Below are 18,488 nucleotides of genomic sequence, written 5' to 3' on the forward strand. Positions count from 1 at the left end.
TGTCCCAAGTTTGTGCAAATGGTTATGCCATATTTTTCCAATCGATTTAAAGCAAATGCCCCCAAATGGTTGCTAGGAGAAAAACTGCACTATTCAGCCCTGTCTCATCAAATACTCAGATTGTTCACGGTAGCGAGGATTTTAGACGCTGAAATTAGAGTGAAGGATGAAATCTACAAGATCTACAAAATTGAGACAAAATCAGAGTTGTGTGAATTTGTCACATCTGCCCAGGTCCAACGTCATGAGAGTAGGATTAGGGCGCCACAGGCATGGCCTGAGACTAGGAAGAGAGCCTTGCTCACTGACCCATCCCTTGTCTGGGCTTCCAAGTGGAACTAGAGTTTCATTCAACCTACATGTGCCTATAGGACCTCCCTGTGGCAATGACATCTCTCAGCTCAGTAAGGGCCACTTGCAGTAGGAATATGACCCTAACCAGAAGACTCAGTGGATCCTTATCACCTTCATAGAAAGGTACTCACCATCCATGTCAACAGCCAAGCCAACACGCTGTTGCTCCAATACGTAAAAGGCACTTCTGTAGGGCTGGCATGAGTCAGTCAGTTCAAGACAACCTGAAGGAGTTGAATAACATCTATCCAGTGAGTCCTGCAAGACTTCAGGCCCTTTCTCATCCAGCAGCTCCCTGCTGAGCCTGGAAAAGTGGGAAAAAGTAAAGAATAAGCCAGGGGGAATCAGAAACCACACAGCCCCAGCTAGATTTCATGGCTAACGTAAGGAAGAGTTTGAAAAGAAAAAGGACAGATCCATTAATGAGGTAACAAATTATTGCCTTTATGTTGGGATAGAACAGGGCCAGGTAGAAAACAATGAAAGAGAAAGACAGAGAGAGAGAGAGAGACAGAGACAGAGAGAGAGAGACAGAGACAGAGACAGAGAGAAAGTGACCTAGTGAATTGGCCAGGTGACATACTGGTAAGGGAGTAAAAGGACACTCTGAGTTAGTGCCCTCATGACACACAGCAAACTGTGATCATGAAAAGAGTGAGCTCAATAGTTTTCCATAAAATATGCTCAAAATTCGATGCAGTGGCCATGAGAGTACAGCTTTTGAAGTATGGTCAACCTATGGTACGTTAGGAAATGATAAGGGGAGGAAGAAATGGAAACCTAAACATCTACTGCAATGAAAACCAACAGCAATGACAGTAGGAGTAATTCAGCCTTCGTTGAAAACATGACATCAAACACACTCTGGTTTCCCTGAATCTGTTGCCTCCAGGTGTTAACAGAGAATTAAGCATCCACAATTGCTGAAAGTCACCTGGGGCATGGTGGGTTTTGATCTTCTTCCCCTTCTTTTCTTCCCCTTCTTCTTTCCTTCTTTGATCTTCTTCCCCTTCTTTTCTTCCCCTTCCCCTTCTTTTCAATTTCTGCAATAAATTCAGACATGGACAGACACATTAAGCTGATTCCCCTACACACATAACAATCCACTGTCTAATCCTCACACAGGGACCTCAGGCTCCTCAGCATAAGAATAGGACACCGTGAGAGATATATTTCAGGAGGCCTGAAGGCTGGTCATGATAGAAATTCCTCGGTTTTTCTCCCAGAAACTGTGGGTAAAATGTCCCTATTCTAGTAGATCGTTATCCCAATATCATTTGTCCCAAGTTTGTGCAAACAGTTATGCCATATTTTTCCAATCAACTTAAAGCAAATACCCTCAAATGATTTCTAGGAGAAAAACTGCAATATTTAGCCCTGTCTCATCAAATACTCAGATTGTTCATGGTTGTGAGGACTTTAGACACTGAAATTAGAGTGAAAAAGGAAATCTACAAACCCTTGAGTCAAAATCATAGTTCTCTGAATTTGTCACATCTGCCCAGGTCCAATGTCATGAGGATAGGATCAGGGCGCCACAGGTATGGCCTGAGACTAGGAAGAGAGTCTTGCTCACTGACCCATCCCTTGCCTGGGCTTCCAGGTAGAACTAGAGTTTCATTCAACCTACATGTGCCTATAGGTCCTCCCTGTGGCAATGACATCTCTCAGCTCAGTAATGGCCACTTGGAGCAGGAATATGATCTTTATATGGAAGACTCAGTGGATCCTTATCACCTTCATAGAAAGGTACTCACCTCCCACGTCAAGAGAAAAGCCAACATGTTTTTCCTCCAATGCATAAAAGGAACTTCCATAGGGCTGGCAGGAGTCAGGCTGTTCAAGACAACTGGAAGGAGTTGAATAACATCTATCCAGTGAGTCCTGCAAGACTTCAGGCTCTACTACCTCCAGCAGCTCCCTGCTGAGCCTGGAAAAGGAGGAAAAAGTAAAGAATAAGCCAGGGGAAATCAGACACAACAGAGCCCCAACTAGGTTTCATGGGTAGCATAGGGAAGTGGTTAAAAAACTAAAAGGATAGATCCATTAATGAGGTAACAAATTATTGCCTTCATGTTGGGACAGAACAGGGCCAAATGGAAAAGAATGAAAGAGAAAGACAGATAGACACACACACACACACACACACACACACACAGACACACACACAGACACACACACACACAGAGAGAGAACGAGCTCAGTGAATTGTCCAGGTGACACACTGATGAGGGAGTAACAGGACACTCTGAGTTAGTGCCCTCAGGACACACAGCATACAGGGATCATGAAAAGACTGTGCTCAATAATTTTCCATAAAATGTGCTCAAGTTTCCATGCAGTCGCCATGAGAATACAGTTTTTGAAGTCTGGTCCACCTACAGTAGGTTAGTAAATGATAAGGGGAGGAAGAAATGGAAACCTAAATATCTACTGCAATGAAAACCAACAGCAATGTTAGTAGGAATAATTCAGGCTTGCTGGAAAAGATGTAATCGATAATGTCAGCCCGCTCTGTTTTCCCTGAACCAGGAGTCTCCAGATGTCAACACAGAAGTAGCTGTTCACAATTGCTCAGTTACCTGGGGCATGGTGGGCCTTGGTCTTCTTCCTCTTCTTGGTCCTTTTTAGTTCCTGCAATACATTCAGACAGGGACAGACAAAATAAGCCAATTCACCTACACCCATAACAGTCCACTGTCTAATCCCCACACAGGGATCTCAGGCTCCTCAGCATGAGAACAGGACAATGTGAGAGAGATACTTCAGGAGGCCTGAAAGCTGGTCATGATATTCTTTGGTTTGCATCTCAGAACCAAGGGTGAAATATCCCCATTCTGGTAGATCGTTATCCCAAAATCATTTATCCCAAGTTTGTGCAAACAGTTATGCCTTATTGTTCCCATCAGTTCAAAGAAAATGCCCCAGATGATTTCTAGGAGGAAAACTGCAGTATTCAGCCCTGTCTCATCAAATGCCCAGCTCGTTCATGGATGCAAGAATTTTAGACACTGAAATTAGAATGAAGGAGGAAATCTACAAACCCTTCAGTCCAAATCATACTTCTGTGAATTTTTTACATCTGCCTGGGTCCAATGTGCTGAGAGCGGGCTCAGCTTGCCACAGGCATGGCTGGAGACTAGGAATAGAGCCTTGCTCACTGACCCATTTCATGTCTAGGCTTCCAACTGAGACTACAGTTTCATTACAACCTATATGCGCCCATAGGTCCTGCCTGCGGCAATGACATCTCTCGGGTCAGTAAGGGCCACTTGGAACAGGAATATCACCCCTATCTGGAAGACCAGGTGGAGGCTTATCACCTTCACAGTAAGGTACTCACTGTCCACGTCAAGAGCCAAGCCAAGGTACTGTTCCTCCAATGAGTAAACAGCACTGCTGTAGGGCTGGCCTAAGTCAGGCAGTTCAAGATAACCTGAAGGAGTCGAATAACATCTATCCAGTGAGTCCTGCAAGACTTCAGGCTCTTTCTCATCCAGCAGCTCCCTGCTGAGCCTGGAAAAGTAGGAAAAAGTAAAGAATAAGCCAGGGGGAATCAGAAACCACACAGCCCCAGCTAGATTTCATGGCTAACATAAGGAACTGTTTAAAAAGAAAAAGGACAGATCCATTAATGAGGTAATGAATTATTGCCTTTATGTTGGGATAGACCAGGGCCAGGTAGAAAAGAATGAAAGAGAAAGACAGGGAGAGGGAGAGAGAGAGAGAGAGAGGAGAAAGTGAGCTCAGCGAGTTGGCCGGGTGACACACTGATGAAGGGGTCAAAGGACACTCTGAGTTAGTGCCCTCGGGACACACAGCGAACAGTGATTATGAAAAGAGTGGGCTCAATAATTTTCCATAAACTTGCTCAAGATTCCATGCAGTTGCCATACAGCCTTTGAGGTATGGTCAACCTATAGTAAGTTAGTAAATGATAAGGGGAGGAAGAAATGGAAACCTAAACATCTACTGCAATGAAAACCAACAGCAATGTCAGGAGGAGTAATTCAACCTTCGTTGAAAACATGAAATTGAACACACTCTTGTTTTCCCTGGACCTGGCATCTCCAGGTGTCAACACAGAATTAAGCATCCATAATTGCTCAAAGTTACCTGGGGCATGATGGGTCTTGGTCTTCTTCCACTTCTTGGTACTTTTCAATTTCTGCAATAAGTTCAGACATGGACAGACATATTAAGCTGGTTCTCCTACACACATAACAATCCACTGTCTAATCCTCACACAGGGACTTCAGGCTCCTCAGCATGAGAATAGGACACTGTGAGAGATAGTCTTCAGGAGGCCTGAAGGCTGATCACCATAGAGATTCCTTGGTTTTTGTCCCAGAAACTGTGGGTAAAATTCCCTATTCTGGTAGATCGTTATCCCAATATCATTTGTCCCAAGTTTGTGCAAATGGTTATGCCATATTTTTCCAATCGATTTAAAGCAAATGCCCCCAAATGGTTGCTAGGAGAAAAACTGCACTATTCAGCCCTGTCTCATCAAATACTCAGATTGTTCATGGTAGCGAGGATTTTAGACGCTGAAATTAGAGTGAAGGATGAAATCTACAAGATCTACAAAATTGAGACAAAATCAGAGTTGTGTGAATTTGTCACATCTGCCCAGGTCGAACGTCATGAGAGTAGGATTAGGGCACCACAGGCATGGCCTGAGACTAGGAAGAGAGCCTTGCTCACTGACCCATCCCTTGTCTGGGCTTCCAAGTGGAACTAGAGTTTCATTCAACCTACATGTGCCTATAGGACCTCCCTGTGGCAATGACATCTCTCAGCTCAGTAAGGGCCACTTGCAGTAGGAATATGACCCTAACCAGAAGACTCAGTGGATCCTTATCACCTTCATAGAAAGGTACTCACCATCCATGTCAACAGCCAAGCCAATACGCTGTTGCTCCAATACGTAAAAGGCACTTCTGTAGGGCTGGCATGAGTCAGTCAGTTCAAGACAACCTGAAGGAGTTGAATAACATCTATCCAGTGAGTCCTGCAAGACTTCAGGCCCTTTCTCATCCAGCAGCTCCCTGCTGAGCCTGGAAAAGTGGGAAAAAGTAAAGAATAAGCCAGGGGGAATCAGAAACCACACAGCCCCAGCTAGATTTCATGGCTAACGTAAGGAAGAGTTTGAAAAGAAAAAGGACAGATCCATTAATGAGGTAAGAAATTATTGCCTTTATGTTGGGATAGACTAGGGCCAGGTAGAAAAGGATGAAAGAGAGAGACACACACTCACACACACACACAAACACACACACACACACACACACACACACACACAGAGCGAGCTCAGTGAATTGGTCAGGTGACACACTGATGAGGGAGTCAAAGGACACTCTGTATTTGTGCTCTCAGGACACACTGTGAACAGTGATCATGAAAAGCATGTCCTCAATAATTTTGCATAAAATGTGCTCAAGTTTCCCTGCAGTTACCATGAGAATACAGCTTTTGAGTTATGGTCAACTTTCACTAGGTTAGTAAATGATAAGGGTAGGAAGAAATGGAAACCTAAACATGTACTCTAATGAGAACCAGAAAGCAATGTAGTAGGCATAATTCAGACTTGTCTGACAAGACAAAATCATTATTTTCAGCATGTACTGTTTTCCCTGGACTTGGCATCTCCAGGTGTCAACATCAAATTAACTCTCCACAATTTCTCAGACTCACCTGGGACCTGTTGCCTCTTGGTCCTCCTTTTTCACTTGATCCCACCGATGTCCTGCAAATAAATTCAGATGGGCCCTCTTACATTAAGCAGTTCTTCCTTGCACACAGAAACATTCCTCTGTCCAATCCTAACACAGGGACATCAGTCTTGTCAGTGTGAGAACAGGAGACTTTGAGAGAAATATTCCAGTAGGCCTGAGGTCAAGTCTTGAGAAAACTGGCTTGGGTTCTTTCATGAGCCTTGGGCAAAATTCCCCTGTGTTGGAATGTTATCTTCCCTATGTGCTCTGTCCTAGGCTTCTGTACACAAATGAGAAATTTTTTCCCCAATAAATTGTAGGCAAATAGTTCTAACACCTCATAGGAGAGACACTTCAATATTAAGCTTTCTCTCATCAAATACCCAGAATTTGATAGTTTATGAGATTGTGGACACAGAGATTTGATGAAGGGGTGCAATGTACCAGCTCTTGAGTCAAAATGAAACTTGGTTCTACACAGAAGCATCAGCTATTATGGCTTTTGTGGGTGAAAAGTCAGCCATTTATCTAGAAAACATACCAGGAACATGATGGACAGATGAGCTAAAACAAGCGAACTTAGAAGACACAGAAAATGGGAATAAATTCAGTGAAACCTGGGTCACATCTTTCACTGAGAGGTAGACAAGGGTGACACTGGCCTTGGGCGGGTAAAGAACCACACAGACATGCTTTGGGAACAAAACTCATAAGGAATTTTGTAGCTGGCAAGAGACATTTAATTCAGATGAGCTGAGCTGACAGACAACTCCTGGGCATGTGCTGCATAGTTTGGTGTGAGTTTGCCACACCTGCCTTGAGTTCAATGTCGTGACAATCAGTCCAGGTTGGCACGGGCATGGCCTGAGACTAGGAAGAGAGCAAAGCTCACTGACCCACCCCATGCCTGTGCTTCAGACTCGACTCCAGAGTGATTGAAATCTACATTGATATATAGGTTCAGCCCACGGTGATGGCAAATCTCAGCCCAACAAGGGGCACAAGGCCCAAAGATTATGGGGTCTACCTGGGCCATGAACTGGAGCTTTATCACCTTCACAGTGTAGTACTCACTGCCTATGTCAACAGCCATGCAGACTTGCTGTTCCTCTAATGAGTGAAATGTGCTGCTGTAAGACTGGTACGAGGCCAACATTTCAGGAGGAATTGAGAGAGTCGAATAACCTTCATCCCAGGACTCCTGGGGGACTTCCTCCTCTTCAGACTCCTGCAGATTCCTGATGAGCCAGGCAGGACAGGGATGATAGAAGATTTAACCAACAGACATTAGACAACAAAACCTCCCAGATGATCTGATGGGAGACAGAATGGAGTGGTCACAGAAACCAAAGGCATTTTTCCTTCAAGAGAAATAAAACTATCCTTCTAAATGCAGGGTGGAGGGTGACTGCTCTGGGGACAGAGCAAAAATGGGCAGCATGTGCTCAGTACATTTGCCACAGATGAGCCAACTCAGGGCACCCAGACTCTCCCTGTAAACTACCATCATGACTTGCAGCACAGAGAACTGACACAGGGCTTCAACTACTTTGCATAAATTGGGTTGAATTTTACATGCAGCATTCAAGTGAAGAGAGTTCTTGACGCAGTGCAGACACAGATCTTGTGTATTAAGGGCCCCATTTTCCCAATATTTTGATATAATATATTTACTTTTTCAATTTCTTTTCTTGCAAAAATACTAGCCAACATACTACCAACAAATAGGAAAAAAGCATGTATACACCTCTCCCTGGATTTAAACACATCGGAGAGAATAGGCAACACCAAGAAATCCCTGTTTGAGGGTCTGGAGTGGACTTCCAGCAAACTCCAACAGACCTGAAGCTGAGGGACCTGACTGTTAGAAGGAAAACTAACACACAGAAAGGAATAACATCAACATCAACAAAAAAGACATCCACCCCAAAACCCCATCTGTAGGTCACCATCATCAAAGACCAAGGGTAGATAAAACCACAAAGGTGGGGAGAAACCAGAGCACAAAAGCTGAAAATTCCAAAAACCTGACATCCCTTCTCCTCCAAAGGATCGCAGCTCCTCGCCAGCAATGGAACAAAGCAGGATGGAGAATGACTTTGATGAGCTGACAGAAGTAGGCTTCAGAAAGTCGGTAATAACAAACTTCTCTGAGCTAAAGGAGGATGTGCGAACTCATCGCAAGGAAGCTAAAAACCTTGAAAAAAGATTAGACGAATGGCTAACCAGAATGAACAGTGTAGAGAAGACCTTAAATGACCTGATGGAGCTGAAAACCATGGCACGAGAACTACGTGATGCATGCACAAGCTTCAGTAGCCAATTCGATCAAGTGCAAGAAATGGTATCAGTGATTCAAGATCAAATTAGTGAAATGAAGCGAGAAGAGAAGTTTAGAGAAAAAAGAGTAAAAAGAAATGAACAAGCCTCCAATAAATATGGGACTATGTGGAAAGACCAAATCTACATTTGATTGGTGTACTGAAAGTGACGGGGAGAATGGAACCAAGCTGGGAAACATTCTTCAGGATATTATCCAGGAGGACTTCCCCAACCTAGCAAGGAAGGCCAACATTCAAATTCAGGAAACACAGAGAACACCATAAAGATACTCCTCGAGAAGAGCAACCCCAAAACACTTAATTGTCAGATTCACCAAGGTTGAAATGAAGGAAAAAATGCTAAGGGCAGCCAGAGAGAAAGGTCGGATTACCCACAAAGGGAAGCCCATCAGACTAGCAGCAGATCTCTTGGCACAAACCCTACAAGCCAGAAGAGAGTGGGAGCAATATTCAACATTCTTTTTTTTTTCCATATGTATAGTTTTCCTTTATTATTTTTTGTGTGTATGTATATATATATATATATACAGATATATATAATACTTTAAGTCTTAGGGTACATGTGCACAACGTGCAGGTTAGTTACATATGTATACATGTCCACATTGGTGTGCTTCACCCATTAACTCATCATTTAACATTAGGTATATCTCCTAATGCTACCCCTCCTCCCTCCCCCCACCCTACAACAGGCCCCAGTGTGTGATGTTCCCCTTTCTGTGTCCATGTGTTCTCATTGTTCAATTCCCACCTGTGAGTAAGAACATGCGGTATTTGGTTTTTTGTCCTTGCAATAGTTTGCTGAGAATGATGGTTTCCAGCTTCATCCATGCCCCTACAAAGGACATGAACTCATCATTTTTTATAGCTGCATAGTATTCCATGGTGTATATGTGCCACATTTTCTTAATCCAGTCTATCATTGCTGGATATTTGGCTTGGTTCCAAGTCTTTGCTATTGTGAATAGTGCCACAATAAACATATGTGTGCATGTGTCTTTACAGCAGCATGATTTATAATCATTTGGGTACACACCCAGTAATGGGATGGCTGGGTCAAATGGTATTTCTAGTTCTAGATCCCTGAGGAATTGTCACACTGCCTTCCACAATCGTTGAACTAGTTTACAGTCCCACCAACAGTGTAAAAGTGTTCCTATTTCTCCACATCCTCTCCAGCATCTTCAACATTCTTAAAGAAAAGAATTTTCAACCCAGAATTTCATATCCAGCCAAACAAAGCTTCATAAGTGAAGGAGAAATAAATCCTTTACAGAGAAGCAAATGCTGAGAGATTTTGTCACCACCAGGCCTGCCTTACAAGAGCTCCTAAAGGAAGCAGTAAACATGGAAAGGAACAACCGGTACCAGCCACTACAAAAACATGCCAAACTGTAAAGACCATTGACGCTAGGAAGAAACTGCATCAACTAATGGGCGAAATAACCAGCTAATATCATAACGACAGGATCAAATTCACACATAACAATATTAACCTTAAATGTAAATGGGCTAAATGCCCCAGTTAAAAAACACAGAATGGCAAATTGGATAAAGAGTCAAGTCCCATCAGTGTGCTGTACTCAGGAAACCCATCTCACATGCAGAGACACACATAGGCTCAAACTAAAGGGATGGAGGAAGATCTACCAAGCAAATGGAAAACAAAAAAAGGCAGGGGTTGCAATCCTAGTCTCTGATAAAACAGACTTTAAACCAACCAAGATCAAAAGAGACAAAGAAGGCCACTACATAATGGTAAAGGGATCAATTCAACAAGAGTTAACTATCCTAAACATATATGCACCGTATACAGGAGCACCCAGATTCATAAAGCAAGTCCTGAGAGACCTACAAAGAGATTTAGACTCCACACAATCATCATGGGAGACTTTAACACCCCACTGTCAATATTAGACAGATCAATGAGACAGAAGCTTAACAAGGATATCCAGGACTTGAACTCAGCTCTCCACCAAGCAGACCTAAAAGACATCTACAGAACTCTCCACCCCAAATCCACAGAATATACATTCTTCTCAGCACCACATCACACTTATTCCAAAATTGACCACATAGTTGGAGGTAAAGCACTCGTCAGCAAATGTAAAAGAATGGAAATCACAACAAACTGTCAGACCACAGTGCAATCAAATTAGAACTCAGGATTAAGAAACTCACTCAAAACCGCACAACTACATGGAAACTCAACAACCTGCTCCTGAATGACTACTGGGAAAATAACAAAATGAAGGCAGAAATAAAGATGTTCTTTGAAACCAATGAGAACAAAGACACAACATATCAGAATCTCTGGGACACATTTAAAGCAATGTGTAGAGGGAAAATTATAGCACTAAATGCCCACAAGAGAAAGCAGAAAAGATCTAAAATTGACACCCTAACATCACAATTAAAATAACTAGAGAAGCAAAGCAAACAAATTCAAAAGCTAGCAGAAGACAAGAAGTAACTAAGATCAGAGCAGAACTAAAGGAGATAGAGACACAAAAAACCCTTCAAAAGATCAATGAATCCAGGGCTGGTTTTTTGAAAAGATCAACAAGAAAACCCTGTTTGGCTAGTTCACCTGGCTCATCTGATGGCAAGTTCCTATCTTGAGAGGACTATGAAATTAAAACCAATACAAGTGCTACAAATAACATACAACATTGTAAATCAGCACAATTTGTAGCTGGGTGAATGGAAGAAATAGTTCTATTCATCACTTCCTCATTTTCCCTAAATCTACAATCTCCAGATGTCACTACTGAATTAACAGCCAACAATTCCACAACATTACCTGGGAGACACTGGCCCTTTTTCTTCCTCTTCCTCATCATCACTTTCATTTTCTGTAAATAAATTCAGAGAAGCAGGTCACATTAAGCAATTCATACTTCACATATGAACAAATCACTGTCCAGTCATAGCACAAGGACATAACTATTCTCAGTGCAAGAATAAGGATTCTGACAGGAATATTCTAGGGTGTCCTAGATTAACTTTGGTGAGAATTAGATAACCCTGCTTTCCAGACCCACAGGCCAAAATCTCCCTCTACGTGTAGACCATAATGCCATATTCCCTGCCTGAGTCAAAGTTAAACAAAATTTTTTCCCCAAAAAAATCTCCAAAAATTGGTCAAACAATTTTCTAAGAGTGCTGCTGCGATACGGACTTATATCACCAGGTAACATGGACATTAAATGTTTAGAGGCATCTATACATGAAACACGACTGATAGATAAATTTGAACAACTCTTGCTTTAAAAAGAATCTGTGATTTGGGAGGCCAAGACAGGTGAATCATTTGAGGTCATGAGTTCAGGACTACCCTGGCCAATATGGGGAAACCCTGTCTCTACTAAAAATACAAAAATTAGCCAGATGTGATGTTGTGCACCTGTGGTCCCAGCAACTCAGGAGGCTGAGGCAGGAGAATCACTTGAATCTGGGAGGCAGAGGTTGCACCAAGCCAAGATGGTGCCACTGCACTCCAGCCTGGGTGACAGAGCAAGACTCCATCACAAAAAAAAAAAAAAAAAAAAAAATCCACGATGCTACAAAGAAACATTGGATCAGCCATTGCATTGACAGGGTGGAGAACCAGGGTCCAGCCTTGCTTTATGGAAATATATCAGCAAAGTAAAGAAGAAAAGTTTCTGTCCTGATTTCAGGGTGACTGTGCAGCTAAGCAAGCTGACTTAAAGGAGATCCAGATGAAAGCTGAGAGCAGTGAAGCCGGGGGAACAATATTTCCAAATACAAAGGCAAGGCTGCCAGCTTCCTTAAACAGGCATAGAAATTCCATGGACATTGTTCAGGGACAGAGGACTTAATCACAGATGACAAGAGATACTGAATCGAAGCTAGTAGGCCTGACAGATACTGCCTGTGCACCTCCTGCACTCAGGTGACTATGAGATTGTCACACTTGCCTGGGGTTGAGTAACTTGATACTGGGGACTGGCAGACAAAGTCATGACATTAGCTGAGAAGGACAAAAAAAGTCCCTGATATCTGTTTAGAAACCCATCACAGTTTTTTATTCAAATGAATTTGTGTTTATAGAGCCTGTCTTCAGAGTTTATCTTCCTCAGCCTAGAGAGAGGTATGAGACACAAGGAAAACAGAGGCTACCTGGAATAATGTGTACAGCATCCTCCCATTCAACATGAGAGGATGAGCCAATCAGAGTTGAGTCGACTTTGTCTTCCTCAAATGTGATTTTGGTTTTCCTATGTGGCTGGTTGGAGTCATAAGGGCCATGGCTATTTGAATAAGTGATGGCACATTCCTCCTGTGAGTCCTCAGGGACTTCCTTTTCTTCAGCCTTCTGCATCTCCCTGATGAGCCAGGTGGGACAGAGATGACAGAAGATTAAACACAGAGGGATTGGACCCCAGGGAGTCCTAGCTGGTTTTGACAGGCGGCATTAAGAGAGTGGTCCCAGAAAGCAAAATGGAGGTTCCCATTAAGGGGGAACATGCAATCCTGTTCTCTCTGCAACAGAGCATGGCTGCCATGGGAACCAGAGAGGAAGAGAGCAGCTGCTGTTCATTGCACTGGACAGATAGGAGCTGAGGAGGATGAAGACTCAGCTATCCCTGTACGGTGCAGACGTGACACTCGGCACACACAGAGAAACATGACAGCTGCCGCACCCTGTGTCTAAGCTGGGTTATATTTCACATACTGTGGCCAAGCAAATGTGGGTTTTTGGCCGATCATAGATGCCAGAGAGGGTGTGCCTCCTAGATATTCCTCATATGTTACCATCCATTAATTGTTCCTGAGTATTCAGTGTTACCTGGGGGCAGACGATTTCTGCACTTTCTCAGCCAACTCAACTTGAACATCTTCATCGTCATCGTTGTCATTTTCTGTAAATACAGAAGTGTTCGTTCAGATATTTCCCACTTCACAGTCTGCAAGCACAGTCAGCCCAATGTGCAACAGAGACATGAACATCTAGGCATGGGTCACCGTTCAACTGAAAACTCTCATGTTTTATCTTTAACAGAATGCCCTGGCATGGTTTCCTGATCCATCAGGCAATGCATTTCTGATCTGGAGGGCCACCATCAAGATGTGGCCAAATATTGAAAAGACCTTTTGCTTCCCATATCACTGGAGGCTTGTGCAGCCTCTCTCTGGACGTTGGCAGCTGTCTCCCCCATCCTGCCAGATCTGATTCCCAGGCACAGGCTTGGTGTCCTGTCACGGTTTGCATTTCAAACCTCATTCTTTCTCTTAGAAGCAGACAAACTTGTCCCACAGTCCTCTATGCATCAGAAGATTTCAAGCCTCCAAGTGGCTTCTGCTGTGTTCTTCAGGGACATTCTATCCATGGGGAGTGCTCCAGTCTGAAGCACTTCCTACCACAAAACGCCCCCACATAAAGTGCCTTCTCCAACATCACACGGCGAGGGCCTTCATCTCATTTTGGAAAGCAGTTGTAAGTGTTCCCACATTTGAATGCTTCAGACCCTTGCAAGAGACAATTTGTCTGCCACGGAGAGAGAGAAACTCAGGAAGGACAAGTCATTCACTCTCTGACAGTTACTAAGAATATTGCCGAAAAGACAGCCTGGGAACCTTCATTCTTAGTGCTCTTTCACTCTAACAAGCCTGCTCCCATCGCAGCCTCCTTCCTGTCCTTTAAAACTAGACAGATGCTGCCTCTTGCTCCAAAGACCACCTTCCATCAAGGGAGGAGGGACACTTGCAATACTGTGACCTCCAACCCCATGGGTTTCCCATCTCCGTTCTTACCCAAGAAGTCCTGGTCATGTCATGGCCACATAAGCTTAGTGGAAAAAAACACCATTGATACAACTGTCATTGTGAAAGTATGGAGGTCTGGAGTCTCTCATAAGCCTGGGATTTTGGGTCATCAGGGCCTATGGCCACCTTACCTGGGCTGAGCTTTTGGACAAGGTGCTGTGCCAGTCTACACCCCTCAGCCAGCTGTTCTTGGAGGTCCTGCCCCTGGGACTTGTCCGGCTCATCCGGAGTAAGGAGGGCCTGGAGATGCTCATTCAATGAGCGGGAGGCATCTCTCCCTTCCCGCAACTTCTCCCTTAACTGGGTCAGCTCTCGTTCCTGAGCGTGAACCAGGACTTTATATTGCCTAAGGTGAGACGGTAGAGAAAATTTAAGAGTGGAAAGGTTCAGTGATCCGCTCAAATATTGCAACAGAGATTTCTGAGATAATGTCCTCAAGGAGACCTCGAAGCAGAAGGTCAGCACATGTTTAAAGGAATGTCTGTGGCCAAGAGAAAGAATAGAAAATGGTTTACAGGCTTCCTCTGTATCAGAGAGGGCTCTTGCAAGATCCTCGATGATGTTCCATTCATCTTTCCCTTCTGTAAACAAAAGTAGGTGTCTTCCTAATTCCGTTTCAAAAAGACATCCTTTCAGTTCCTCACTCTGGCCATGGACATTTCCATGTGAAAATACACATAGTGCATCTTGCGGCCACTAGATACAAAGCTATGTACAGAAATGAGGCCAGGTGCAGATGGGGCGAATTGAAAAGACGAAAGAAGAAAAGAATGACAGGGTCGAGAAGGCAACATTGATTGAGTGAAAGAATGAGAAGCCGCAGTCAGTCAGGAGGTGATTGTCACTAAGGGTAAGTGGGGTGGTGATGGCACACCATTTTGAGTATACTGAATGCTGCTGTGTGGTTCACACTCCTTTGGTTAATTTTGTGTTATGTAAATTTCACATCAACAATTACTTGTTTGAAAAAGAGAAAACAAGGCTCTGAGAAACAACTGCAACCCATACATTTTTATTATCCTTCTTCTCTGTTTGATAAATATTTATGTGTAGCGAGCCTGCCATGGCAATTCCTGCCCTTCCCCTGGCCCAGCTTAGCTCTTACGTCTCCCCACCGAGCTGCTGTATTTCAGAGATTTACACACCTGCCCCCCTGCCTGCCACCATGGGGTCCCCTCACCTGAGCTCCTCAGCTTGCTTGAGCTGCTCTGCAAGCTTCTCCTCCTTGAACTGTCGCTCATTCCTCAGCATAGATTTTATGAGGTCTTTGCACTCTTCATATTCTGAGAAAAGACAGACACGCCTGCCTCAGTGGAAGGCTGGACATGCTGCTGTGGTCATTGCCTACAGGGCAGGAGCCAGGTCCATCCCAAGGACAAAACTCTCCCCAGTACCAGGGTCTAGACAGGGATTTCCACATCTTTACTCTTCAGTCTCCTGACTTTCTGGCATCTGATCCTCCAAAATTTAGAGATGAAGAAAGAGAACCTCAAGGGCACATCAAGGAAGTTGACAAGATGATTCAACCACAACGAAGTGGAGTCAGAATTCACAGTCCGTGAGGTCTGACTCTGAATGCGGGGCCACTTTCCCAAGCCTTGCAGCCTCTCCTCTAAAACACTGCACTGGGGCATGAAGTAGTGATTTCTTGTACAGTCGGGAAGGCCCCTAGGACTATGGGACTGATGGTTTCCCTTTTACTGGGAATTTCAAGGACAAGTATGTGAAAGATTTTTAAAATCTTTGATTTTTAAATCATATCTTCAGTTATGATTTTAAGAATCATATCTGAAGCATAAAGTGTGACACATAACACCTTAAGGCCATGAAGGAAATATGCCCAAATGTTAATAAAGTTTGTGTTAATTTAGAAACAGCAGAATGAAGAACTAATAAATAGTGTTCACTGTGTGCCAATAAATGTTCTAGGAGATTGACAAGAAATAGCTCATGTAATTCACTGCAGCAATTTACAGAGGTAGGTATTATTGTAGTACCCTCTGAACAGATGAGGAAACTGAGGGACAGACAAGACAAGCAACATGGATGGAGCCCAGGAGACAGGCTGAGGGTCCCTGCTTTGCACACTGCACTGCTGCTTCCACACATTCTCGGGTGTGATCTTTCTTCCTCTTTAGGAACAAGAGCCTGTGCACCAGGAAACAGGACTTCGCTCTCACCAAGCTACTCTCTGCTTTTTATTTTTATTTTTGATTTATTTATCTTTTTGTTTGTTTGTTTTTTGACGAGTCTTGCCCTGTCACCCATGCTGGAGTGCAATAGTGCAATCTTGGCTCACTGCAACATCTGCCTGCTGGGTTCAAAGGATTCTTCTGCCTCAGCCACCCGATTAGTGGTGATTACAGTTGCCCACCACGACGCCCATCTACTTTTTGTATTTTTAGTGGAGATGGGGTTTCTCCATGTTGCCCAGGCTAGTCTCAAACTCCTGACCTCGTGCTCTGCCCGCCTCAGCCTCCCAAAGTGCTGAGATTACAGGAGTGAGCCACGTTGCACGGCCCCTACTCCCTGCTCTTGATGCTGTCACTTATAGATAGCACAGGTTCTATTAGGAGCAGACTCCTCTTGAAGCCCCTCAGAGCAGGTACTGGCTACTATCACCAAGTTTCCCTCAGAGTCACTAGAACACAGCTTTGCCTGTTGGGCCTCAACAGAAACTTGAACTGAATAAAAGTTCACTAGTCCTAGACATTTAGAACAACAGACTACATGTTATTTGTCTGCAGGATCTTATATGGTACAGAGAGGATTCTTGAAAACATGATTGAGCCTCTTGGAGAAAACAGGTCGTTCTGTGCCTGTGTTAGAAATCAATAAATGGCAGTTTAACTCTAGTCCCACCCCCATCTGATTGCAAACATGGAAAGTTGCTAAATACTTTGGTACCTCTGTCTTCCAACTAACAAAATGTTAAAATACCCATTTCTGTTTTCCTACAAGTACAAGAAGGATGAAATTATTTTTGATGGAGAGAGCATTTAGTGTCTCAGAAGACAGGACATCATTCATCACTTTCATGATGGTGAGCCTATAGATCTTACTGTATTTCTTCTGCTGGTTGGCCAGGAAGCCGGCCAGTTGAGTTACAAAACATCTCTCTTTGAGGTTTCCGAACTGCTGTTTGTTCTCTGCCAACTGGGGGCGCAATTTCTCGTTGATTTCTAGAATGTTCATCTCTGCCTTCTCGCTGGACCAAGGGCCGGCTGATACCACCATGCTGACGTTTGTGGCAGAAGAGGTGGAGTCAGGGACTGGGGAGAAGAAACCCAAACATATGATGGGTTAAAAACTGGTGAAATCAAATAGGTTTAATCAGGACTGAGGGATGTCAGTAACTGAAATTCTTACCTTACTGTTGTGAAAAATGTGATCACTCCCCACAGCACTTTAGGATCCTTCACCACAAAAACAAGGTTCAAGGTGCCTCAACTCAGAGCTGAAAGCACTGCCAGTAGCTCAGACTCTGATAAGAGTGAGGTAGATTGTGGCCAGCGTGCCAGGTAACCGTCTGCAGTTGCAATAACAGAATTAGAAGGTGGGGGTGTCATGGAATCTTAGGAGCCCTGCATTCCAATTGCCCAGGCTTTGCTGAAACACAGGCACCCTAGTCTCACCTGAGGGTCACCACCAATGGGGATCATTCCTTCAGCATTCACTCTCAGTATTCGTGTACCCTTGTGACAATGCCACAGACCCGTGTCTTTCCCAATACATCTAAGCATATTCCTCACTGTTTATCTCTTGTCTGTACAACATCATCAAGGCAGAAACAGTTTCCCAACAGGTTATATTTTCTTAATGGTAGTCATGAAGTCATAAATAAAAAAATGGAATCATTTAGTATGTTCTCTTGTTTTGACTTTTTCTTTTTTTTTTTTTGGAGACAGAGTCTCACTCTGTCGCCCAGGCTGGAGTGCAGTGACGCGATCTAGGCTCACTGCAAGCTCTGCCTCCCAGGTTCACGCTATTCTCCTGCCTCAGACTCCCAAGTAGCTGGGAATACAGGCACCCGCCACCACGCCCGGCTAATTTTTTTTTTTTTTTTTTTTTTTGTATTTTTAGTAGAGACGGGGTTTCACTGTGTTAGCCACGATGGTCTCGATCTCCTGACCTCGTGATCTGCCGCCTCGGCCTCCCAAAGTACTGGGATTACAGGCGTGAGCCACCGCGCCCGGCCGACTTCTCTTTACTCAGGTGGGTATATATGCCACTAATTTGTTTGATTGTGTTTTTCCCTTGTTTCATTTTGTTTTGGCCAAGTAAT

At 43.9% G+C, this 18,488-nt stretch overlaps 1 protein-coding gene across 3 annotated transcripts in view; it reads right to left on the reverse strand.

Moving 5' to 3' along the window:
* NBPF20 (NBPF member 20) overlaps positions 1-18,488 on the reverse strand; it is a 135,704-nt gene that overhangs the window by 97,933 nt on the left and 19,283 nt on the right. Inside the window, exons 1-17 of one of the 3 annotated variants that reach the window (NM_001278267.1) lie at positions 17,850-17,946; positions 17,266-17,475; positions 15,384-15,486; positions 14,335-14,549; positions 13,227-13,299; positions 12,557-12,762; positions 11,217-11,268; positions 7,146-7,309; positions 6,029-6,103; positions 5,890-5,902; positions 5,242-5,414; positions 4,471-4,522; positions 3,698-3,870; positions 2,937-2,988; positions 2,112-2,284; positions 1,289-1,397; positions 486-658 (exon numbers count right to left, since the gene is read on the reverse strand). In NM_001278267.1, coding sequence (NP_001265196.1) covers positions 486-658; positions 1,289-1,397; positions 2,112-2,284; positions 2,937-2,988; positions 3,698-3,870; positions 4,471-4,522; positions 5,242-5,414; positions 5,890-5,897 — 913 coding nt within the window. In that variant the 5' untranslated portion in view covers positions 5,898-5,902; positions 6,029-6,103; positions 7,146-7,309; ... (5 more) ...; positions 17,266-17,475; positions 17,850-17,946. Of the gene's footprint in view, positions 1-485; positions 659-1,288; positions 1,398-2,111; positions 2,285-2,936; positions 2,989-3,697; positions 3,871-4,470; positions 4,523-5,241; positions 5,415-5,889; positions 5,903-6,028; positions 6,104-7,145; positions 7,310-11,216; positions 11,269-12,556; positions 12,763-13,226; positions 13,300-14,334; positions 14,550-15,383; positions 15,487-17,265; positions 17,476-17,577; positions 17,733-17,849; positions 17,947-18,488 lie in introns of those variants that run through there. The other 2 variants (NM_001397211.1, XM_047446015.1) reach the window with 2 other exon arrangements.

The sequence above is a fragment of the Homo sapiens genome, chromosome 1, assembly GCF_000001405.40.
Source record: "Homo sapiens chromosome 1, GRCh38.p14 Primary Assembly".
Lineage (NCBI taxonomy): Eukaryota > Metazoa > Chordata > Mammalia > Primates > Hominidae > Homo > Homo sapiens.